Source organism: Homo sapiens, chromosome 17, assembly GCF_000001405.40.
Source record: "Homo sapiens chromosome 17, GRCh38.p14 Primary Assembly".
Classification (NCBI taxonomy): Eukaryota; Metazoa; Chordata; class Mammalia; order Primates; family Hominidae; genus Homo; species Homo sapiens.
Window position 1 is genome coordinate 80,788,187 of NC_000017.11, and position 25,689 is coordinate 80,813,875.

At 47.2% G+C, this 25,689-nt stretch overlaps 1 protein-coding gene and 1 long non-coding RNA gene across 3 annotated transcripts in view, besides 2 other annotated features; one reads left to right on the plus strand and one right to left on the minus strand.

Moving 5' to 3' along the window:
* The window catches only part of RPTOR (regulatory associated protein of MTOR complex 1), a 421,531-nt gene that overhangs the window by 243,349 nt on the left and 152,493 nt on the right, over positions 1-25,689 (plus strand). For both annotated transcript variants that reach the window (NM_020761.3, NM_001163034.2), the window contains exon 7: positions 3,264-3,323. In NM_020761.3, coding sequence (NP_065812.1) covers positions 3,264-3,323 — 60 coding nt within the window. The remainder of the gene's footprint in view (positions 1-3,263; positions 3,324-25,689) is intronic.
* Positions 2,070-2,149: a silencer, noted in NCBI's record as "silent region_9110". NCBI's record gives its function as "represses an Ori minimal core promoter by ATAC-STARR-seq in GM12878 lymphoblastoid cells {active_cell/tissue: GM12878}" and the evidence as "EXISTENCE:reporter gene assay evidence [ECO:0000049][PMID:35858748]".
* On the minus strand, positions 13,454-17,446 carry LOC101928855 (uncharacterized). The gene is made up of 4 exons (NR_110852.1): positions 16,781-17,446; positions 16,479-16,688; positions 16,095-16,322; positions 13,454-15,553 (listed from the first exon to the last, which is right to left on the minus strand). It is a non-coding gene; the product is annotated as an uncharacterized LOC101928855 (long non-coding RNA).
* Positions 23,083-23,584: an enhancer, noted in NCBI's record as "H3K4me1 hESC enhancer chr17:78785069-78785570 (GRCh37/hg19 assembly coordinates)". NCBI's record gives its function as "activates a minimal SCP1, AML or CMV promoter by ChIP-STARR-seq in naive and primed H9 embryonic stem cells {active_cell/tissue: H9 hESC(naive and primed)}" and the evidence as "EXISTENCE:reporter gene assay evidence [ECO:0000049][PMID:30033119]".

Sequence of the window (25,689 nt, forward strand, 5' to 3'; positions counted from 1 at the left end):
CACCAGCTGGGGGTGGTGGCTTACACCTGTAATCCCAGCACTTTGGGAGGCTGAGGTGGGTGGATCACCTGAGTTCAGGAGTTCGAGACCAGCCTGACCAACATGGCAAAACCCCACATTTACTAAAAATATAAAATTAGCCGGGCATGGTGGCGGGAGGCTGAGGCAGGAGAATCACTTGAACCCAGGAGGCAGAGGTTGCCGTGAGCCAAAATCACACCACTGCACTCCAGCCTGGGTGACAGAGTGAGACTCTGTCTCAAAAATAAATAAAATAAATAAATAAAAATAAAAACACCACTTCATTGTCTTCCTGCATCCTGTGTTAATCTGATAAAAATAAAAACACCGCTCCACTGTCTTCCTGCATCCTGTGTTAATCTGGTTCTTGTTTCTTTGAATGTGATCTACTCTTTGTTTCTGGAAGCTTTGTATGTATTTTCATTGTCTTTTTAATATTCTTGATCTTCACTATGATGTACCTAATTTATGATGTTCTTCCTCTGTATATCATAAGACCTCACAGAATGTGACGATTAAAAAAATCAGTATAAAAGACAGAACAATGGTCGCCAAATAATAAGCACTAAATAAGCAACAGCTGTGTTATATTATCATTATATTCAGCTTTGTGGGTTTTTTGAGCCATTTTTATTACCTCTGCCTTTGCCCACTCTTTGACCTTTCATTGCTCAGCAACACTCTGATGTAGGTGAATGAAAGAAATCGTATAAAATGTGAAACCAGTTGTTAGCAATTCTGGTATAAAGAGAATTTACATTTTTGGCTAAAATGAAGTTTGCATACTATCAGTGACTGATATATCCATGCTACGCTTATTCATATAGCCATGCTATAATAAAGTTGCATGATATTCCCATTTTAATTTTTTATTTAAGGGAACATTATATTTTCACTGAATTTATAATATGCTTATCTCCCAGCCAATAATTATTTTTATAATGTGTAAGTCTCTGTGTACTAATTCCAATATCTGGCCAACTATGAATCTGTTTTTATTGACTTTTTTCTCTTGATTTTAGATAGTATACTATCTGTTGTGGATGAGGCATTGTAGACATTCTAGATTCTGTTATTTTCTTTTGGGCAATTACACTGATCTTGTAGAGGCTTCGTTATAGGACTAGGCTCTTTTGGCTTTGATCTTAGTTCTAAGGTGTGGTTCATAATCCCTCTGGGGTGTCCATGTCCTCAGATGTGATCAAGCCCTGTAGTTTGGCAGGACCTGATCTTCTCTGTCTTCACAGTGGCAAGCAGATGTCAAAATCTCTACTCTGCGTTTTCAACCTTCCTGCTGTCCTCCACGGGGATCCTGGGAATATTATCCTGTGTGCGTGCCCTTCAGGAGCCAGCCTCCGACTCGGGGAAGGTTTACATGAGGGTTTTGGCTCCCTTCTTCCTAGGGCTTTTGCCTGCAATATCCAGGCAGCCTTGAGCATGGTCTCAACCCAGTAAGGCTGCTGCCTTTCAGTCGCATGCTAACCCCCACATGACTTGTGAGTGAGGAGCACCCTTGGGAAAAGCCAGATGAAAGTGATTCATGCAGAGTTACTCTCATTTTCTAAGGGTCACGGCCCTTCCATTTCCTGCCTTCCTGCCTGCATTTGTTTGTTGTTCAGAATTTTCAAATGGCTTTTTAATATTTTGTCCAGAGCTTATCATTATTGGCAAAAGGATGAGTCTGATATAAGTGATTCTGTCATTACTGGACTCTAGAAATCCCAATCAGTAAGTACATTATGGATAAAAAGACAAAGTAGCATGGTTCGCATAGGACTCAGATTTGAAAATGCATTTCCTGTAGATCATTTTTATCCACAGAGAAATTCTGGTTTGCCTGGGACCACCGTAGGAGCTGCATGTGTCTGTGCTGGTGCAGAGGTGTCTGGGCATGGCTGAGGAGAGCATCTGCAAGTGAAGCCAGCAGAGGAGACCACTCAGAGTGGCACTGACTGGCTCGGGGAAGCACTGGGGCCACACGGGGCACTTGATGCCGTGGGAAAGGGCTGCTCTGTAGCTTCAGGCAAACGTGGGCCTCACTTTTATTTTCTCAGCTCTTTGAACGATAAAACACTGACTACTGCAGCCACAACCAAGAATATAACTTCCTCTCTGCTGGCTGAGCCAGGTATCACTTCTTGAGAGAGTGAGTGTGGCTGGCAGCCATGCATGGGGTCCAGGATGACCAGCTCAGCCTCCCCTCGCCCTGCAGGGCTGCAAAAGTGAGACTGTCTTCACACCTCTGGCTCGTTGTCTTCCTGGTTCTGGATCTCTCAGTTCCTCTGTGTCTTTTTCTCCCATTTCCTATCCCACTGCTATGGGTACCCTCCTGGGTCCACCATCCCCCATAGAGGAGTCACTGCCACGTCTCCCCCGAACGTGCCTGACCCTTGCACTGCACCCTCCCCTGGGCCACTGTCCTTCTCCATCACTCACTTCCAGCCAACACTTCTGCCATCACTCACTTCCAGCCAACAGTCCGCGAGTGTGTTTTGGAGATGTGCATACTTGCTCTGCACCTGCCATTATGTTTTTAAGGGGTGTTATTTGTTCTTAATTTTAAAAGTAGGTGAATTAAACATTTTGCATTTCTCCTACTAAAAATACTGCATTGCCTTTTTACTCTGCTGCCTCGATTCTGCCCACTGTATGCCAGTAGCCCGGATGGGAGGAGAGATGCTTTCCTACCTCCTGTTGGCGCCACGTTAGAGAAAGCCTGTCCGGCTCCACACGCGCTCCTAAGGATGGACCTGCGTCAGACATGAACCCAGCTCTGACCTGTAGGATTTTATGATTATGAACATGATATAATTGAATTTGCATTTCTTTTGTGTGTCTTGAGGCTACTCATTTATTCTACTCCAGCAGTCTCCCCAGCTCACTTCCTTAAGAAGGAAAGAAGTGGCAGGTCCAGTCCACTCCAGCATCTCGTTTGGAGACTGAGCTTTATTAAGCATCTCGGCGCTCCTCTCCAGGGACCGGGCTTCATGTGGCTGCAAACGGCTTCTCTCCTTTCTCCTGACAACTCACTGTGGCAGCTCTGTAGTCTCACGCCTTGACAGAATGGCAATGAGATTTTCTTTACAAATCTAAAAGCTGCCGAATTAAGGAAATCTGAGTGTACTTGTTCACCGTGGTAGTCCCTGTCCCCACCTTTAACTCTTCCCTTTTTCTGCAGGCCTGTTGAATTTCCTGGGTGACTGTTCCATTCATGCCGTTCACATTCTTTTCTTTCTCTGCAGGTTTTGCATGCAGAAATGTGTCAGTCTGGTGCCTGGCGTCACACTGGATTTGATAGAAAAGTAAGTAGGATTTTTAAGCTCTTGTGGCTCTCTGGATCTGATGAGTTTCTTTTCCTTTTTGAAGGCTCTTGCTTCTCAGAAGTACTTTCTATCAACATGGCATGTTCCCTTTCATGTGGCTGTGTTCTTTTGTTCTCTGATTAAGGCTGTGTTTGTGATTGTCACACTGGGGCTTAGTGCAGGAGATAACCAAACATGGGCCATATGAAAAGAAAAATAATAAAAAGCTGAATTCCTTTGAACATTTAAAAAGTCTCCAGACTTTAAGCCAAAGCAAGAACATACCACTTCGCATACAAATCATTTCTGCTGCCACTGAAATGATAGCTAGATCATAGCTAGCTCTTACCTTATTTTCTGAAACTGTCCCTTTAATATTCTGTAACTTTCCATCCCCTCCCCCCCTGTCGCCATCCAGTTTCCATTTTACTATCTCAGGGCAAACTGATTTCAGAACCTGAGCGATGAAGTGACGGGATTTAGTCAGGCCTATGAAGAGTCAATGGCACTTGCCTCCCATAATCCTTCCAGTCCCATTGGCCAACCCGTCTGTCCCTCGCGTGATCTTTTTGGATCTGAAGTGGTGTTTCAGGACCCGGAGCGTGGCCTGCACTGCCTTGTTCTGTTTGTTTGTGCACCGGATTCATCGTGACTCATCCTGAGTCATCCAGGCAGTATGGAAGAACTTTGGAGTTATTTTAAACCCTTTGGCTCAGAACCCCATTTCTTCTAGAATTAACATGCAAGATAATTGTTTTCTACATCTTAATATACAAAGTTATATCTTAATATTAGGGCCTGAATTTACTAAATTAGGCAGGAAAAGCAACCCCACTTCCAAGTTTCTCTTGTAAAAACGTGCTTGCCTTGTGTATCAGGGGAAAAATGCAAGAATATTATGTGTAAACGTTCATGAGGGCACGGTGAGCTCCGTCGTGGTTCACTCCCACCGTGGAAGGTGGCTGTGTGGCCAACAGGAAGGCCGGGGAAGCGACACTGGTCCTGATGTGGAGTGGTCTACCAGATGTGCTAAGTGAGCAGTCCTCAGCATGGGTACCTAACAGAGCTCAGTGCCCAGAGGCTTTCCAAACAGTGCAAGCTGTGACTTAGAAGACTGTTTCCAAAGGCTAAACAGATAGTGGAGGCTCTCAGAAGCATCACGTGGAAAATAACTTTAAAAAAAAAATGGGACTAGATGATCTGTGCTCCCCTCCCCTTCTGGTTGGTTTGGTTCCCTGACGAGACTGCAGTTTTGCGAAGCTGTTCTTGAGATCTGTTTACTGGTATTGCTGTGCGCTTTCTTTGGGGCTTTTATTTCCCCCTCTGTTTTCTGAGTTTTAGAGCTCTCTATTACCTGTAACGTATATATTGCCCCCGCCACCCCTGCGCCCTCCCCACACACACACCGGATGCGTATCCCAAATCTAAAAATCCAAAATCAGGAATGCATCAAACTGTAAAAAAATTTTTAATGAATTAAAAAAAAATAGGGCATCTTGCTGTATTGGCCAGGCTGGTCTTGAACGCCTGGCCTCAAGCGATCCTCCCACCTCCGCTTCTCAAAGCGCCGGGATTACAGGCGTGAGTGATTCTGGCCGTGCCAGGCCAAAATCGGAAACTTTTTGAGCACTGATGTGCTACTCAGAAACAATGCTCTTTGGAGCATTTTGGACTTCATGTTTTCGGATTAGTGATAAATCCAAAAAACTTAACTGGTAAGTATAATGCAGATATTCCAAAATCTGAACAAATTCGAAATCCGAAACGCTTCCGGTTCCAAGCATTTCAGATAAAGGGACACTTAACCTGTGTATATATATTATATATCTAATTTCTTAAATAAACCATATCCATTAATATTTCAGCAGTTATATTTTATCCTTGCTGGGTTGGCTTATTCAGGCAGCTCTTGGGTGAAAACTGTCTTGGTGTTTTCTGTTTGTCGTGCCTCCCTGTGGCTATTTCCATGGTTTCCTCTGGAGGTGGGAGGGCCGCAGTATCCTTTCTCCTCCGCCTGGTAGCAGGAGCCCAAGCCTTACCCACGCCTCCATCTCCGTGTGGGACAGTGTCTCGTCTCCATCCTGGATGGCTGCTGTGTGCTGTCCCATCCCCCCTGGTCACCTGTGTCTGTGGCTACTCCGGACAGAGCCCCCCGGTCACCTGTGTCTGTGGCTACTCCGGACAGAGCCCTGCCAGCGCGTGTTGAGCCACATGAGCTCAGACAGCGCCACAAGCTCCACATCTCTAGAGCAAAAAGGTCTGTTAAAAATCACCTAGTGATGACAACAAAAATTTGTTTTAGGTTATTGAGTCAAACTACCTTATTTTACTGAGAGAGAACCTGGTATTTAGTTCACTTCAGCTCCTGGGTGGCCTTTTCTGCCTGGTTCGGGCAGGGCTGGCCTAGAGCTCAGGTCTCAGGACAGCCCCACTGTCGTCTGCCCAACACACGGAGGTTTTCCCTTGAACAAGATTTTGGTGTCAGAACAACCAGCTGCCTCCCTGTTTCTTTCCAAAACTTAAAATGTGCACAGCAACATGACATCCTAAGCATGATTCACAAAAGAAAAAAAATTGGTAAATTGGACTTCATCCAAATGTAAAATGTTTACTCTCTGAAAGACACGCTGATATGAAAAGACAAGCTATAGACTCGGAGAAAATATTTGCAAGTCACATATCTGACAAAGAACACATGTATCCAGAATGTATAAAGATATCTCAAAACTCAAAAATAAGGGGGAAAAGAAAATTAGAAAATAGACCAAAGACATGAAGAGACACTTCACCAAAGAGGATTTAGGGATGGCAAATATGCTTATGAAAAGATCCTGGAAATCATTAGCCATTAGGTAATGCAAATTAAAACACAGTGAGACAGCACTGTCCCTATTAGAACGGATGACATTTAAAGACTGACCAAACGCAGTGTTGAGAACTCACATCACAGCTGCTGGGAATGCAGAATGGTGCGGCCACTCTGGAAGAACTGTCGGTTTCTCATAAATGTCCATAAACCTGCCAACATGTCCCCGCATTCCTACTCCTGGATATGTACCCTGGAAGAGGGAAATCTTAGGATCACACAAAAACCTGTGCGTGAATGTTTACGGTAGCTCTGTTCATTACCCCAAGCCGGAAGCAACCAAAATGTCCCTCCCAGGGCAAATGAATTCAGACTGTGGTGCATCCGTATGATGGAATTCTGCTCAACAGGAAAAAGGGACAGGCTTTCTATATACACCGCCATTTGGGCGGTTCCCAGAAGTATCACACTAAGTGTCAGAAGCCCATCTCCAAGGGTGGCGCATGGTCCGATTCCCTTTCTGTGACCTTCTGGGAAAGACAGAACATGGGGCCAGAGAACAGATCAGCTGTTGCCAGGGATTAGAGGGGTGGAGAGTGTGGCTGTGAGGGGCTAGCGGGAGGGGCCTGGGGGTGATGTCTTGATGCTGGTGTGGTTCCACAGATCCACCCACACGTTCCAATCCATAGCATGTGTACCTGCAGAAGTCATTTTGCTATTTGACAACTGAAGTAAAAGTAATACATAATGTAGGGGAGGAAAAAAACACCACGAGAGTGAGCAGGCCGGAGAGTGCAGAGCAGATGCAGCACACGGCTGGCCACCGCTGCGGACAACAGGCCATGGGCCTGGGGAGCGAGGGGTGCAGGGAAACAGAGACCTGGATTTGGGAAAGGAAGTGGATTCTACAGCAGCATGCTCTGTTGTTTCTGGGAAGATACCTTCACTCTTATTATTAAAATGGGATTGAGTGAGGATTGAAAAAGAGAAGCAAACACCCTTCCCCATCCACCGTGGGATGTTAGTCATTTTCATCAGACGCCCTTTCCCTAAATCACGATGTTAGCGTTTGCAGCCACTCGTGTTCTTCCCAGAACCAGTGCATCCCCTCCCTCCCCAGCACCAAAGGCCCTTCTCAGCCAGTGCGATCAGACAGCTGGAGGTTAGGGCAGTGTTCTCGTCTTTCTTCCATCTCCCCTTCTCCTGTGCCAAGTGATGCTATGAAGGTGGCTAAATGCTAAAGGTTTATTTTTTTTTTTTAATTTAAAAGAGACAATTAACTGTTAATAGTAGGCAGTTTTCAAAACACACCCTGATTAGGGATTCGGGGTACGAGGAGGAGAGTGTGGTGGGAAGAATATGGACGTTGGAGTCCGAGCAGCTCCATCTGGCCCTCCTGACCCCTTCTGAGCCACACTCACTGGGCACCTCCTTGCCTCTGGGTCTGTCTCTGTCCTGCAGAATGGACACCACTCGGCTCTCATCGGGCAGCAGCAGTGCCGAGGGCATCACACATCCTGACACGACCTTGGCTCTCAGCCCGTGTCCGCCTCCCGCCAGACACTTCTGCCTTCTCAGCACTTCCCAGAGCTGCAGCTTGGATGGTGGCTGCTGTCACTCCACATTCCTGTAGTTCTGTAAGCGTCTCCCACGCCTCTCCATCTGCCATCAGCTGAGGCACCTACGACTCCCAGGCATCGTTGCCCTGGCCCCACCACAGTTAGAGAGAGATGGCAAGGCGCCAGAGAGGCCGTGCTCTCGAGGCCCATTGCTGAGACAAATGGCTTAGCAGGCTGTTTTAGTCCATTCTCACACTGCTGTCAAGACACTGCCTGAGACTGGGTGTATTAGGGTTCTCTAGAGGGACAGAACTCATAGGATAGCTATAAATATAAAGGGGAGTTTATTGATTAATATTAACTCACACGGTCACAAGATCCCACAATAGGTCATCTGCAAGCTGCGGAGCAAGGAAGCCAGTCTGACTCCCAAAGCTGAAGAACTTGGAGACACTCAGTATTAACCATCACACTGGGTAATTTATAAATAAAGGAGGTTTAACTGAGTCACAGTTCTGCATGGCTAGGGAGGCCTCAGGAAACTTACAGTCATGGCAGAAAGGGAAGGGTAAGCAAGGCATGTCTTACATGGCAGGAGAGCGAGAGCACACCAGGGAAGGGGAAGTGCCACACTTTTAAGCCATCGGATCTTGTGAGAACTCACTATCACGAGAACAGCCACTCCCATAATCCAGTCACCTCCCACCAGGTCCCCGCCTCAACACATGGGTATTAGAGTTCAAGATGAGATTTGGGTAGAGACACAGAGCCAAACCATATCACAGTCGCTGTAGCCACCTCAGTCTTTATTGAGAATAACTTCTTAAAGTGTGTGGATTTGGGTCTGAGTCACTGTTCTCTGAATGCAGTTCAGCAAAAGCACCTGTTTTAGTGTCTTTCACTAAGAATCCACGTCAGCACTCACAGGGTGAACTCCCGTGGTGCCTCCGCCTCACAGTGTGACAGAGGTTAAATTGCGGGTGGCTGAATTATATTTACATTTTTTATGCCAGGACAAATTCCAAACTTTAGAATTATACAGCAATGGAGAAATCCAGATCTTTGCTCCAAAAGGTGCCCAGCCACAGCTGCCATTAGCTCTATTTCCAAGTGGACGTCAGTTTTTAACTTGCATAGACACAGTGACTTCTCCGCTTAAAAACGCTATTTTTATGTTTTTTTAATTTTTGGATTTTGTTCCCCAATTATGTTTAAAGTCTCATAAGAAAAGTTTTTTGTTTGTTTGGTTGTGTGTTTTTTGTTGTTGTTGTTTTTCCAGACAGGGATTCGCTCTGCTGCCCAGGCTGGAATGCAGTGGTGCCGTCTCAGCTCACTGTAGCCTCAACCTCCTGAGCTCAAGTGATCCTCCCACCTCAGCCACCCAAGTAGCTGGGACTGCAGGTGCATGCCATCATGCCTGGCTAATTTTTATTTTGGGTTGTTTGGTTTTTTTTGTAGAGACAGGGTTTCTCTGTGTTACCCAGGCTGGTCTTAAACTCCTGACCTCAGATGATCTGCCTGCCTCGGTCTCCCAAAGTGCTGGGATTATGGGCATGAGCCGCTGTGCCCGGCCATGTCTTTTGCATATTGTATTATCTACAAAGGACATGAGTTACTTTTTAAATAAGTGATCTTGTTAATCAAGTGATCTTCCTGCCTTGGCTTCCCAAAGTGCTTGGATTATAGGCGTGAGCCACCACGCCCAGCCAAAGAAAAGTTTTTAATAAGTAGATTTGATTTTGCAGTTACAAAGTGAGGCAGAAAATTCAGCACATCTATGTTTAATAGTGTCTTCCATGCCGCTGTGGTTTTTACAGTCAGAGGACACTCCTATAAAAAATACCTCGTTATTTTTATACTTTATCATTTTCTGAAGATTTATTCTTGAAATATGTTGATCTTGGTTACTGTGACCTCTGTGGCTCAGACCCTCTTGGCCAGCCTTTCTACTACCTCAGGGCCCCTTTTTCCCACGGGGGTCCCACCAACATATGTTAACTCCCGTAACGCTAGCCCACGTGTCAGGGGAGACAGATCCACTCGGAAAGCAGCCGTGCGGTACAGTTGAGAGACAAACAGATCATCATCAAGCTCTACTGATGAATGCGGCCCCTGTGTTCCAGGCAGCCAAGACTGAGTTCCCCCTTATTTCCCTTCACTGAACATGTCAGCCATGTTTGTGATGTTCTTGTGTGTCCCTTGCCCTGAGTTGACGCTGGGACCAGGGTGCTTGAGGATGAGCTCCCAGCAATTCCAGGCTGTGCCTGTCACCAATGTGCCCCGGGCAAGGGAGTCACCTCTCTGACATGGAAGCCCAGAGGTTACCTTCTGGAAGCAAACCCTGTAACCAACTTCCCTCCTTACAGGGCTGGAAGCGTAGCAGTGTCCACCATCTGTGGAATGTCCTCTGGAGCCGCCTTGCCCATGCCACACAGAAGGACACCACGGTTAGGGCACCCATGCGTCACAGCATGTGGCCAGCAGGGCCACGCCACCTCCCAGGGAGGCATCTGACATGCACAAAACCTTTTGAGTTTTTGTATGTTTTTTTCAACACTTTCCTAAAATGCAGTGATCAAAAGTTAGTTGCCTGCTCCTGCTTGGGACACCAGTCCCTCAGGGGGTTTGGGAATTGTTCCTCCCAGACTCCGGGGCTGACATTTGGAGGGTCACCGCCTGACCCCTGCTCCAGAGTCAGCAGGATGGCGCTCCTCCAACACCACTCCTCCCATCGCATGTGGGAGCAGGAGGGGTGTGGTCTTGGAAGCGACACCCTATGATGCGCATTCACCTGAGTGGCCTTCCTGGCCACAGGGCTGAGCCAAGGGGGGGCCAAGGCACTGCCTCCCTCCAGGCAGCACGTGTGTCTAAAAAATTTATTTATAAGTACCCAGGGAATATTTAAAAATATATAAATTTTTGAATAGTTGAGAGATTTTAATAAAAACGTTTGTGCATTATTGGCAGAGCTGTCAGTGGGTGCTGGGTGAGAGCCACACGGTTGTCTGGGTGACACCCCCGTGTCCCTACACACCATGACTGTCCTCCTGTCCACCTGAGATGGAACTCTGGGTTCCCTGAGTCACACCTACATTAAAACGTACACAGTCATCCATCACGTTCACATCTGTGCCGGCATGACCTCCCTGGGGAAGCGTTTGCATTGCTGCCCTTTTTGCCAAGACCCTCCCGAGCGTGATATGACCTTTGAACCTAGAGCCAGAGAACCTGCTTGGGCGTCCCTGCCTTCGTTAAATGAACTGATCTTGGATCCAGGTTAATGGTGAGATAACTTGTTTTTAATTATAGTTTTAAGACCAGGCAGAAACAGGCTCTCGTGCTTAGTCTGATTTCATTTACGTTTTAGCAGTTCATTATTGTAAACAGAATCCTAAGGACTGTAGACCGGGGGCGTGGAAACCCCACCACAACACAGCACCTAGAACACACGTGTGTGACATCTCGAGTGACGCACATTCGGAACAGATCGTGTGGATGTGCAGATGTCAGGGAGTCTGCAGTACCTGCGCATACACTAGCTGGGGCTGGACTTGATCTGCTTTTAGCTTTTGCCAGCTTTTTAGGGAGTCTGAAGACCTAGTTTAGCTGTTTCATTCTTTTGTCTCAACTCACCACATGGAAATTTCTTGCCCTTGAGAATACCTCTCTTGCCACTAAGTGTGAGGACGACGTTGGTTCCTGGGTCCCACCTGACTAGTGTGACGAGTCACGTGACGCAAGGAGAATAACGGGCCTGTGTTCTCGGGCTTTTTGTTTCCGTCAAGCTTCATGACCTGCAGGAAGTAAAACCAGGTCTGCCTCACGCTCTGCACACCCCTCCCCTCCCTGGCGGCCGCCCTGCACACCCCTTCCCTCCCCAGCGGCCGCCCTGCACACCCCTTCCCTCCCCGGCGACCCTCGTTGGGAGCGTGTGAAGGATGGTCCTGAGTGCAGGCTGCAGGTGCCAGGTGGTGATCGGCACATAACGTGACAGATGGGCAGGTGTGTTTGTCACGCACAGACCTGCATGGTAGGCACCTGCCCCATGCCCATGTGTCCTTGCCCGCTGCCATCTGAGAGGATGTACCCTCATCCTACAACAGCTGGCCCTTGGTGTGCCAGGTCTGCCAGGCCAGAGCTCTCTAGGGGTCCGTGTTGGGTAAGTGCACGGCAGGTGGCCCCCTGGCCGAGAGCCTCAGGACCCCGCTGTCTGGGGTTTGGGGGCTGAGTGTGGCACAGCACCACTTTCATGCCCTCTGGAAGGCTTGGCTTTTGCGACCTGGCCTCCTCACCAGCTCAATGGCAGTTTCATGGCATAGCGTCCCTGCTGCCCCCAGACGGTCAGAAATCCAACCCGAGTCATATCATTATCCTCGTCTTTGTCGGCACTGGAGACGTGGGGAGGTTTCGTTCCTCAGAACTGCTGCACGATATGTCTTCCAAAATAAATGCGGTTTATTTCAAACAGCAGCACTCAAAATCAAGGCTCCTCAGGAAATCCAGTATTAACCCCTTCCGAGCTTTCGCCGTCCTTGTCAGATGGGCAAAACACGTTGTTTAGCATCTCAGCACAAGACTGGAGAGAAGATCGGGCAGTTTGTGCATAATTATTTAGCAGTCTTTAAAACTAGGAGAGGAATCTGTTTTCTAATTAAGCTGCTGTGTCTGGAAGTAAATTATAGTGAACCTTCCTCGAGCGACCCCCCCAGTTTCTAATTATCTATGCTAACCTAGCAGCCTGATGAATAAGCTGTTGCTGCTGCAGTACATATTTATATTCTGAATCCTTTGAGAGAGTGGCAATAAGATCCGTGCCTGGAAATTAAGGGACATTTTTCAGCCCTGAAACAAAGTAATGCAACACTTAAACAGTGCTAGAAATATTAGGGTTTTCAGAAAGCTCCGGGGAACCTGAGAGATGTGAACCTGTTCCACGAGGCTGCTAGTTAGTATTCTGATCACTGGAGGCTCAAAGCGTACCCAGAACTTACTCGTGATTAACATTGATTGTGTACACAGCATATTTTAAACCGCTAACAATCCATTGTCGTGAATAAGTGAGTCTCTGTGTGCTGCTGCTTCCGAGGCTCTGGTAGCACGGCTGCCCCGTGTGGCCCAGGGACAGCAGGTGCGGGGCTGCAGCCCCACAGCCCTGGAGCTTGGGTTTGACTCTGGCTCTGAAACCTTCAGCATTGTGTTAGCTGATCTCTGGTTCCCATCTGTGGGACTTCCGTCTCATCTGAGCCTGGGGATGCAGTGCAGAAAATGTAAGGAGACCTGGGAGCTGCTGCTTGAGAGCACGTGGCTATCCGTGCTTCCTGGGGAATGATAGTGACCGTAGGAAGCATTTACTGAGCCCCCATGGTGCCAGGCATCGTGCTGAGGCCTTTACAAACATTACCTGTAAGTCCTCCCTGGAGCCCTTCAAGGGTGGGTGCTGTTGTTATCTACCTTTTAAAAGATGGGGAAACTGAGGCACCCAGCAAGCACAGGGCCTGCCAAGCACCACACCATTAGGACAAGCTGGGACAGGGATTTGCTGGCAGCCTCCCTGGAGCCTGCATCTCCTTCCCCTCGGCATGGGCTGTGTGAACAGAGCACGGGCTCCTCAACAGGAGCCCAGACCTCTAGAAGGTCTGCACAGGGTTTGGGGGGGCAGCACTCGTGTCAGAGGCACAGCGGCTGTGATTAGAATTCACTTCATCGAGGGAAGTCATACACATGGATTATGTTTGAAAGGAAAACTATCAAAAGATCCCAGTCTTGATTCAAAAAATACCTTTCTTTCCAACATAAATATACAATATTGGCTGGTAAAGGTGAAAATCAGTAATTCATTAACGTCTGCCAGTCACTGCTGAGATGAGTAACGAGGCACTAGACGCTGATTTAGAAATGAAGAGGTGGAAGCAAAACCCGAGAGATCGCCGAGCGAGGGGGAGGTGAGTGATTGGCGGAAACGGGGGACCGCCGCCACCTAGCAGATCACCCCTGCCTGCCCGAGCACAGCCACCTCAGCGTTCCCGTGCGCGCCACGCCAGGGCGCACGGTGCTGCACGGGGGTCCTTATGCCCGGGCGCCTCTCATTAAGGTCCCCCCACGGGCAGAGGGAAGACGGGCACCGGGTCCCCTTCGTGTTCGATGTGCACCCCAGCAAGGCCTCCTTAGCTCATCCGGATTGGTAGGGGTGGAGGAGGCTTGGTTCTGAGATGAAATTGCAGACGTGCAGCCAAGGGGGAATGTGAGAGGTTCAGAGGCCACCCCAGGGAACCTGCACACAGCACGGAGATCTTCCGTTTCCTTCACAGTGGTACCCAAACCCTGGTATTTGTCATCAAAACAAAGGCCTGCGCCACAGAGCACGGAGCTGTAACATCTGTGGCATTCGCTCCACCTCCTCACGGCTCTGCACCTCCCAGCATCCTAAAGAAAACGTGGGCTGGGCGCAGTGGCTCACACCTGTAATCCCAACACTTTGGGAGTCTGAGGCAGGCGGATCATGAGGTCAAGAGATCGAGACTATCCTGGCCAACATGGTGAAACCGTCTCTACTAAAAATACAAAAATTAGCTGGGCATGGTGGCGTGTACCTGTAGTCCCAGCTACTTGGGAGGCTGAGGCAGAAGAATCGCTTGAACCCAGGAAGCGGAGGTTGCAGTGAGTGAGCTGAGGTCATGCTACTGCACTCCAGCCTGGCGACAGAGTGAGACTCCATCTCAAAAAAAAAAAAAGAAAAGGAAAAGAAAATGCATGTGTCTGGATATCTCTAAAGGAAGCCCTCGCTCTGCGGAGATGCAGGAGCACAGCTTGATTGGAGGGCAGCTTCCGTTCCTTGAAGGCAGGCTCCCAGGTGCAGAGCGAGGAAGAGGCCGCAGTGAGGCTGAGCGTGTGCCTGGTCAGTGCCCCTTGGCCGTCCTTTCTGATGTTGGCCTTTGCTCTTGTGTAGGAGTCATCTCAGACGGCTCAGTACCTATGGAGGCACACGTCACTGCGGTCGCATAACCGGGATGAGGCTCAGCCCCCATTGATGCCTCTTCTCTAGACGCATCGTAGTTCAGCAGGTGCACCTCCCTCCGTCCAGTCTGCCATTTCTCCTTAACCTTCCCTGAGAGTCTGTTGCTCCAGCTCCATTGCCCGCACGGCCCTTCGGTTCCTCACAACCCCTGGTTCTGGTGGGGTGCCTGGAGTGCCTCCTCTGGCAGGGGTGCCTCCTTGGATCTGTTTATCCTGCAGGATTCAGTGCCCTGCCGTTGTTCCTATGTGCGTGGCTGCAGACTTGCAATCGGTGATAAAGCAGTGTGGCGTGAGGCGCCAGCATAACCGGGGACCCCGGGTGTGTGGTGGCTTTTCCGGTGCTCATCACAGCCACCCGGCGAGCAGCCTCTGAGGCCATCTCCATTTAAACTTCTGGAAACCGAGGCAAGGGAGGTGGAGAGACTTGCTCAGGGTCACAGAGAGTCACACGAGGGTCCCCTGTCGGTGGCGGAGCCTGTGTCCGCCCCCACCCGTCCTGCTGTGTCTGCCCCCAGCCGCCGCTGCTGGCTTCTCAGTTTGCTGCTCCGTGCTGCACAGTCCCCTCTGTCAGAGCCTGGTCGCTGTGCCCTGTGGCCCTTCAGAGAAAGGCCTCCCCGTTCTGATGTGCGTGTGTTGTCTTCTGACCTCGATGCCAGTATGTTTTGCGTGAGTGGCCAGCTCGTCAGCGGGGCCTCGGGTTCCAGGCTCGAGCGCACTTTTCAGACCCCGCGTGTGTTTCTCAGCACGTTTGTTCATTCACCGTTCATTCAGCAGACATCTGCTGCGGACTGGCTGTGTGCTAGGGCCTGTCCGAGGCTCTGGAGCCAAGTCCTTGCTCGTTAACTTACATCCTGATCAGGGGAAGAAACGCACATAAGAGGAGTGTGAATGTACCAGGAGAGCCATGTGATCGCACACAAGAGTGCCTGGATGCTTCTTTGATTGGGCAGCCTGATGAGGCCCATGAAGAGGCAACACTGGAACTGAGACCACCTGGCCAGACGGGAGCAGCCATGCCGGGACCAGGGGCAGCGTTCCAGACGGGGAGCCCCACAGCCTCTGAGCCAGGCACGAGCTTGGGCTGTGTGGCAAGGGCCTTCTTTGAAAGAGGCATATGTAGCTTCAGTATTTATAATTAACACCGCTAACCTGGCAGCACTTAATGGGTCTACAGGGGCCTGTGTGAGTCTGACTCAGACCACTGCATCAGATGGGGAAACTGAGGCACTTAGGAGCTTGATGGCTACCTACAGAGGACATTTTGCTCCATGAATCAGTGGCGTGACCCGCAGTGGCCGCAGAAGGGGCAGTGGCACAAGCCTGACTAGTGGCTCCGTTTGCAGAGGGGGTGGGGGCGACTGACGGCCAGCAGGAGGGCCGTGGTGTTCTCACCTGAGAAGGCGGGCGAGCACTCCTTTTGCTAGAAGAGGCTAAGAGATCTCTACGATTATTTCCATGGATGATGACCCAAACAGATTTAGTGTGGCTGCGTGTGTAGCTGCTGTGTCTTCTAGCTGTTTCTGGAGACCAGAATGTGCCTCCCCGAAATATGAAGAATTGTTGGGCTGAAGACAATTAAGAAGCAAGTGCAAGAGAGCTCCTTTCCTGCCTTCTGTTTCCCTAAAGCAAAACATAGATCTACAGAGACAAAGGCATCCTGTCCCGCCCCGTCCCAGGGAGGACAGCAGCAAGCCCCGAAGACAGCTCCAGGCCCACGCGAAGGTGTTTCCTTCATTTTCTAGATGAAGTGACTGAGTCTCAGAGAGGTTAACTCACCTGCCCAAAGTCGCACAGCTAGGAGTGGCCGAGCCTGGAGGACAGAGCCGGGTCTGTGTGATGCCACCCCCAACTCTGCATCGGCTGGCGTGTGGAAGGACGTCCATCCCTTCACGTCCCTCTGCGTGTTTGTGAGTGCGATTCTGAGGAAAGTGGCATGAGTTTTCTGCATCAAGATGCCTGGTCTCAAAGGGCGGGTTCCATGTGGACCTGACAAAATGAGGGGATGTGTACAGCATGGGAGGAGAGACCGGTTATTTTGACCCAAGCCCCGGGTGCCCAGTGGTAGGAGGAGTGCTGACCTTCTGTGTGATGCATGCCCACCAGGAAAACCTCAGAGGATTATCCCAGAAATCAGGCATAACCACACAAGGCTGCCTGTATTTGGAAACTGTCTTTCCTAGGGTGTTTTAACAAATTCACAGGAAGACACAATTTACAACCAGGCTAGGAAGTGACTCTGGGATTTCAGCATCTTTTCAGAGACAGAAAGATCCAGATGAGCTCAGGACAGTCGGGGGAAGGTGGTGGCAATCTCTGTCAGAACCGTGGAGTGTTCGTTGAAGATACTTCCACAGCAGGAGAGCTCCACGCCCCATCCTGGAAGCTCACCCTCCTCCCCTCCCACCCTCTTTAGGCCAGATTTTTGCAGAGAAGCTCCCTGATGAGATGCAGCGTGCAGGTGAGAGTGGCGTCTGGAGACAGCCTGGAGGCGGCCAGTGCCTCCGGAGGGAAGTGCTCCCCAACCCCGGCTCTGCTGGAGCCCGTCCTGCTTCCCCTTATTTTAGGAGCTGCTTTTCTCGATGTGGCAGGCCTTTCAGCAGCTTCTCAGGAGACTCTGCTTGGAGGTGGCTTCTCCCATGTGACTCCTGCAGCTGCCTCTCAGGAAAGGTCTGTCTGAAGGTCGGCCCTGACACCGGGAAGCCCACAGAAAATCTGTTTTGCAGAAGTGCTTCAAAAATAAACATGGGCTCAGATGTCTTTCTGATGGGCTTTGGAATCTGCCTGTTTAATAAAAAAGAATCTGCTTTTCATTATGTCATCAACATGTTGAATAAGAAAATGGGGAATTACCCCTCGCCTCGCTGTGGCCCCATCTCTCCCTGTGGTTTTTGTTTGCAGCCTCCAGAGTGGCCATTCCTGTCCATTGTTGTTGTTGACTGACTCCAGGAAGGGGCAATAATTTGTCGTTCTATAGTAAGTCAGGTAAAAGGTGAATTATCTCCTGTAATATTAACTCTGCTTACTGTTAAGTCAGGGAAACTTCCTCCCGAGTTCAACCCTACATTTACTTCACAAGTAAAGATGAGCAGAAGTCTGTACTAGGGGAACCATTAAATACGGAAGGACAGGATCCAAAGAGATGGCAGCACTGTGCATATGAACCATGTGATTTAGAAACCGAGCAGAGATTTTTAAAAATCATTAAAAAACAAGCCGCCTCTGGTGGTTTTTAAAAAGCCAGTCAGCTTATGCAGGGGTGGAATTATGGAACTTTCTAGTTTCTATTGTCTCTCGGGTGCCATGTTCACTCCAAACCATTTCGGTAACCCTGAGCCAGTATATCCTCCTGGAGAAATTAACAACTGCTTCCTTTAAGTCAATGTTTTTCAAAGTTCAAGTCATGGTTGATTAGTGGCTATGAAACCAGTTAGGTGGGTCACAGCCAGCATTTTAAAAAAGAAGAAAATGTCATTGTTTTCATAGTAAGATAAGTGTTCCGTGGTCCTGTTGCTTGAACATGTATCTCTTTTTTGGTTTGCTTTTTTGTTTCTGTTGTTTGGAGGCATGGACAGGGTACGAACCTGTGAATATGTATCTTTATATGTGGTTGTGTATGTGTGTTTGTCTGGTCACCAAAAATATTCCTAGGGCTCATGATCAAACAAGTTGGAAAGCTTCTTATTTAAATGATCTCTACTCTTATGTTAATTGGGGACCTAGACACACTGACCACCTTAATTGCCTATACTTTAGTTACCATCAGTGTTGTGAATACTTAGTCGTTTTCCAAGAACAACCTTGCCCCAAATCCCTGCTCTACCATCATCAGCCTTGTGCCATATTATGGTTTCCTATAATCTGTCCCATTTTTAATTAGGAATATTGCTTATACGTATATCTTTTTTCTTTGATTTTTTCTTTTTTTTAAATTCTCTTTTGCTTATACATATATCTTAACAGCCTCTTCTTTTCTTGTTGAAGAAATAATTTTGACAAGTTTTTACATTTTACTTTAAATTAAAAACTCATTTCCCTTTTGACCACATGCATTAACCCTCAGAACTGAAGAAGGCCAGATTAACCGTACCAACTCACCCTTCTTGGGAGAATGAAGCAAACCTTTTATCATCAAGATATGTCACCCTTTATCTCTGGTAATGCCTTTTGCCTTAGAGTCCACATTTTTAAAGTATCGTAGCTGAACAACTGTCTCTTGGTTAGTGTTTGCAGAATGCATCTTTTTTATCCATATGTATATAAGGTAGATCTCTTTTTGGCAATATAGTTAGCTTTTATTTAGTTTTGTTTTAAAATAGAGACAGAACATTTTTGGTTTTAATTAAAGTATTTAGTTTGTTTACATTTAGTGTAGTAATTGATATATTTGGGTTTAAGTCTGCCTCCTACTTGCTTCATCCTTTTTTTTTCCTGTTGCTTTTTATTCTAGCCACCCCACCACCCTTTTTTTTGGAGCGGGGGGAACGGAGTCTCACTCTTGTGGCCTAGGCTGGAGTGCAATAGCACGATCTCAAGCTCACTGCAACCTCCACCTCCCAGGTTCAAGTGATTCTCCTGCGTCAGACTTCCAAGTAGCTGGGATTACAGGCACACACCACCACACCTGGCTAATTTTTTGTATTTTTAGTACAGACAGGGTTTCACCATGTTGGCCAGGCTGGTCTTGAACTCCTGACCTCAGGTGATCCGCCCACCTTGGCTTCCCAAAGGGCTGGGGTTACAGGCATGAGCCACTGTGCCCGGCCAAGCCCCTTTTTTTTTTAACTTTTCTTTTTTCTCCTCCCTTACCATCTTTTGAGTTGATTTAGCAATTTTATTACACCTTTCTTCTCTTCTGTTGGCTTGTTAATTTTATATTCTTTACTATACTTTGAGCATCCTGTTTTTTCCATTAACTGCCAGATAGTATATGCCTTAGACTTTGCAGGCCATGTAAGGTCTCTGTCTCATAGTCTTCCCATTGTTACAACTCTTTAAAAATGTAAAAACCATTCTTAGCCTGGGGGCCTTAAGAAAACATGCTCCTGGCTGGATGTGGTCCTTGGGCCATAGTTTTGGTGACCTGCTTTAGAAACTATAACGTGCATCCTGCTAAAAACTAATCTAAGCCTGGCACAGTGGCTCATGCCTGTAATCTTAATGCTTTGGAAAGCTGAGGCAGGAGGATCACTTGAGGCCAGGAGTTCAAGACCAGCCTGGGCAACATGATAAGACCCTATCTCTACCAAAAAAAAAAAGTTAGGCATGATGGTGTGCACCTGTAATCTCAACACTTTGGGAGGCTGAGGCATGAGAATTGCTTGAGACCAAGAGTTCAAGACCAGCCTGAGCAACATAGCAAGACCCCAGCTCTACAGAAAAAATTAAAATCAGCTGGGCCTGGTGACATGCCCCTGTAGTCCCAGCTGCTTGGGAGGCTGAGGTGGGAGGATCACTTGAGTCCCAGTGGTTGTGGCTGCAGTGGCTCGTGATGCACCACTGCACTCCAGCTTGGGTGACAGAGCAAGACCCCATCTGCTAAAAGAAACAAAAACAGAGTACCCTTTAGTACAGATCTGCTGGGAAAAAGTTCTCATTTTTATTTGTTTGAAAATGCCATCATTTCTCCTTTGTTTTCACGTTTTCAAATCAGCGTTCTTGAGGTGCATTCAATAAAATATACCCACTTGAGCTGTACAACTGATGAGTTTGACAGACCACTGTGCCCGTGGAGCCACACCACAGTCAGCGTATATCCCGTGTGTCCCCTTGTACCTGTCCCAGTTAATCCCTCTCCTTATCCCTCAAGCCCAGGCAACCATTGATCTGGGTTTTCTCACTATACATTCGATTTGATGTTTCCAGAACTTTCTGTAAACAGAATGATAAAGTATGTGCTCTTTTCTGTCTCTTCCTTGGCTCAGAATCATGCCTTTGAGATGTCTCCTTGTTGGGAGTATCAGTAGTGTGTTCCTGTTCATTATAAGTAACAGCCCGTCACCCTGTGTGTCACAGTTTGTTTCACCTGTTGATGCGCGTTTGAATTGTTCCTGTCCTGACTGTTATGAACAAAGCTGCTGTAAACATTCATGTGCAAGTCTTTGTGTGGGCATATATATTCATTTCTCCTGGATAAATACCGGAGAGTGAATTGCTTGGTCATATGGTAGGTGTGTGTTTAACTTTATAAGAAATTGTCCAACTGTTTTCCAAAGTGGTTTGCTGACCTGAGTTCCTGCCAGTAACAACAGCGTGCCAGTTGTGGCGCATCCATGTCGACACTTGGCATTCTGCCTTTTCGGGGTTTTTTTTATTTTATTTTTTGAGATGGCGTCTCACTTTCTTGTCCAGGCTGCAGTGCAGTGGCACAGTCTCAGCTCACTGCAACCTCCGCCTCCCGGGTTCCTGCAATTCTCGTGCCTTAGCCTGTTGAGTAAGTGGGATTACAGGCGGGCGCCACCACGCCCAGCTGATTTTTTGTATTTTTAGTAGAGATGGGGTTTCACCATGTTGCCCAGGCTGATCTCGAACTCCTGACTTAAGTGATCCACCCACCTCGGCCACCCAAGTGCCGGGATTACAGGCGTGAGCTACCGCGTCCGGCCATCTTACCGAAGTATAACACAATATCATTATTATTTTAATTTACATTTGCCTAATGATGACAGAGCAGCTTTTCCTATGCTGCTATTGGCCATTAATTTATATTCTTTAATAAAATGGATGTTCAAGTCTCTTGCCAATTTTCAAATTGTGGTGTTTGTCTTCAAGAGCCCTTCATGTGTTTTGGACACAAGTCTTTGTCCTATCTATACATTGTGAACATTTTTGCTAAGTCTGTGGCTTGTGTTTTTATTTCTAAAACAGTCTAGGCCAGGTGTGGTGGCTCACGTCTGTAATCCCAACACTTTGGGAGGTCGAGGTGGGCAGATCACAAGGTCAGGAGATCGAGACCATCCTAGCTAACACGGTGAAAGCCCGTCTCTAATAAAAATACAAAAATTAGCTGGGTGTGGTGTCACACACCTGTACTCCCAGCTACTCGGGAGGCTGAGGCAGGAGAATCGCTTGAACCCGGGAGGCGGACGTTGAGTCCGTCCAGCAGTGAGCTGAGATCGTGACACTGCACTTCAACCTAGACAACAGAGCGAGACTCCATCTCAAAATAAATAAATAAATAAATAAATAAATAAATAAATAAATAAATAAAACAGTCTTTTGAAGAACAGAAGTTTTTCATTTTGATGAAGTCCGATTTCATCATTTATTTATTTTATGATTTGTACTTTCTGTGTCCTACCTAAGAAATCTTTGCCAACCCTCGGGTTGTGAAGATTTTCTATTTTTTTCTAAAACTTTTAGTTTTAACTTTCATGTTTATGATGAACTTAGTGAACTATGATTAACTTTTAAGTCTGCGATCCGTTTCAAGTTGTTTTTTAATATAGTCAAGAGTCAAGGATCATTATTTTCCATATAGATACCAAATTGTTCCAGCACTGTTTGTGGAAGAGGCTATCTTTTTGTCATTGAATTTCCTTGGTGCCTTTGACAAAAATCATTTGACTATAACTGTATAGTTCTATTCTATTCTCTTGATCTGTGTGTCTATCTTTATTGGCATAAAGATAGGAATACCACATTACCTTGATCACGGTAGCTTTATTGTAAGTCTCTGTTTTTGTTTTGTTTTGTTTTGTTTTGTTTTGTCAAAATGGTTTTGGCTACTCTAGATCCTTGCATTTCATATGAATTTAAAAATCAGTTTATCAGTTCTAACGAGAAGCCTGCTGAGATTTTGACTGGAATTACATTAAATCTAGATGAATTTGAGGAGAATTACCATCCTAGTAATATGGAGTCTTCTGACCCATGCACATAGTGGCTTCATCTTCCATAATCATCACATACTGATTTAGTTGTCTTGGTGCCTTGGAGCTTTATCTGTACATATCTTGCAAATATTTTGTTAAATTAATGTCAGTTTAAAAATTATTTAAGACAGCATATAGAAATGTAATTGATTTTTGCATAGTGACCTCATTTCCTCTAACTTTGCTACATTCACTTATTGGCTCTGGGAGCTGTTTGAAAGGTTTCTTAAGATCCTCTATGTGTGTAATTATGTCATCTGAAAATACATACAGTTTGACTTCTTTATTTCCGATGTTTATGTCTTTAATTTCTTTTTCTTGCTTTGTTGCACTGCGTAATGTCTCCAGTATAATGTTAAATGGACGCAATACAGCTGGGTGTTGAAGCCCTGATCTGAGTCAAGGATCAATGACAGGGAACATTTTATCTAAATCTACTAAGTATAATATGTGCTGTGAATTTTTCATAGATACCCATTATCAGGTTGAGGAAGTGCGCTTCTAGACCTAGTTTTCTGAGAGTTTTTCTCGTGAGTTCTTGTTGGAATTCGTCAGCGGCTTCCTCTGTGTCTGTGGAGGGGATCGTACAGCTGTTCACCCTGTTCAGATGGTGCATCACATGAATGATGTTCAGATGTTAAACAGTCTTGCATCCCTGTGGTAAACCCCAGCTGGTCATGGTATATTACCCTTGGATAGATTGCGGGATTTTACTTGCATTTCATTGAAGATCATCTCACATGTGTTCTTCTCTACCTGTGGGAGACAGCCACGCCCTCTCCAACAAGGCCTAAACCTCACTCTATCCACAGAACATAGCCACGCCCTCTCCAACAAGGCCTAAACCTCACTGTACCCACGGGACACAGCCACGCCCTCTCCAACAAGGCCTCAACCTCACTGTACCCACGGGACACAGCCACGCCCTCTCCAACAAGGCCTAAACCTCACTCTACCCAAGGGACACCGCCTCTCTCCAACAAGGCCTCAACCTCACTCTACCCAAGGGACACAACCACACCCTCTCTAACAAGGCCTAAACCTCACTCCACCGGTGGGACACAGCCACAGCCTCTCCAACAAGGCCTCAACCTCACTGTACCCACGGGACACAGCCACGCCCTCTCCAACAAGGCCTCAACCTCACTGTACCCACAGGACACAGCCACGCCCTCTCCAACAAGGCTTAAACCTCACTCCACCCGTGGGACACAGCCACAGCCTCTTTAACAAGGCCTCGACCTCACTGTACCCACGGGACACAGCCACACCCTCTCGAACAAGGCCTCAACCTCAGCCCTACCTGGGGCCTCCTCCAGGTGCTGGGATTACAGGCATGAGCCACTGTGCCCAGCCCTTGATTTCTTAATATACTAAATTTTTAATTTCCAGGGTTTAAAAAGAATAGCTTCTAGTTTTCTTCCAAAATTGTTCACTTTGTCCTTTAATTCCTTATACATATTAAGTAAGATGATTGTCAAGTCTGTGCCTGGCGGCTCCATTATCCAAATCCTCTATCTCTGTCTTGTCAGCTGCTTTTCTTGGTTTCAAACATATATACAGTTTTCCAGTAATTACCTGTTTTTTTTTTTAATTGAATGCTACAAATTGAAAACGGAAATTGTACAGGTATTTGGGGTGATTTGAGGCTGTGAAGTCTGAATTGTTTTGAGTTTCTTTTTCCTCCTACGCGCCTTTTAGAGTCTCAGCTCAACAACTGAGGAGTTTCCCCAGATCTGCTTCTCCTTGGCAGTGCATCACCTCCTGCTGTTGTTCCCCAGCCCCATGAGCCTGCCGTGATCTACTCAGCGTCCCTGCTGCTGGGTCCCTTTTTTGGAGTTGCCAGATGCTTCCAAGAGAGGTGGCCCCAAACGAAAGCTCAACCCCTGGCTTCCCCTCCTCGAGTCTTGGCCCCATAATTTCTCATAGCCTGGCTGCCTTTCCTTGCTTCTAAAATATTCCCGAACATACACACAGCCTTTCTAGCTGTTCTCCAGGTGAGAATGGTCTGAATCACCTCATCTGCCGTTACCCGCAAGGGAGCCCGTGCTGTTCTCAAAACCCTAAACCTGTGGGAACCACACGCCCCCAGATTTGTGCACGTGATTTGGAATCTGGTGGGCTCAGCTTTTTAGATAATGCCCAGTGGCTGCACGTGAGGGTCCGCAGGCACAGAGTTGGACCCACGTCCCCAGCCTTCCATGTCCAGCTGGGACTCTATGTGGCTCTCTTGTTCCCGTTCCTGTCCCTCTGCCCTCCAGACTATAGCACTGCAGCCCAGCTGACAGAGAGGCCGCTCCTCTACCTTTAAGTTGCAAACTATTCAGACCAATATCGTGTATTATAATTTGTAAACCATGGGTTTTATGCACGCTAAAATGGACTTTAATTATGATCACTCAAAGTCTGTAAATGGCTATAATATTGGGCACTGTGTAGTGAGAACATCAGGTAATGTTACAGAGCGCTGAATTGTACATCATTTTAAATAAAGAGAGGCTGGACGAGAATATCACAGGAATGCACGTTTCCTTGGTTCAGAGCAATATTAGCTTAAGAAAAAGTATTTTCACTGGTTTCACGAAAAGTTATCACCTGGTGCATTATTTCCTGATCTTCACTTCGAATTGTTTTCTTTCCCCAAAGAGTTGTATTTTTACAATGACCGACATGTGTGTGTGCTTTATGTGTAAGGTTTCAATGCAGCGTTCATTGAGAAGCTGGATGAACTCATCACGCTTTTGCACCTGCTCAGATTGCTTTCAGTAACTCTCCTGTTACTCCAGCCCCCACTGTGGAGAACCACTGGTCTGAGATAGACATATATAGCTTCCCTCTTACTAGCAACCTAGCCATTATGCACTGACCTGGATTTTCAAAAGAATTATTTCAAAAAAGAAATTGCTCAGTTCACCTCCCCTGACCTTGGCATGGAACCTTTGTAAGTAATTAATTATTTGCAGTAAGTAAGTGAACCAGCCCAAGCTTCTCTACACCGTCATTTTCATAGTAGTCATTTAAATTTAAGTGCGTGTCCTTCTTTAACTGAATTTAATCTGAGATGATATAAATTTTTAAAATCATACAGTTTTGACTCGGTACGGTGGCTTATGCCT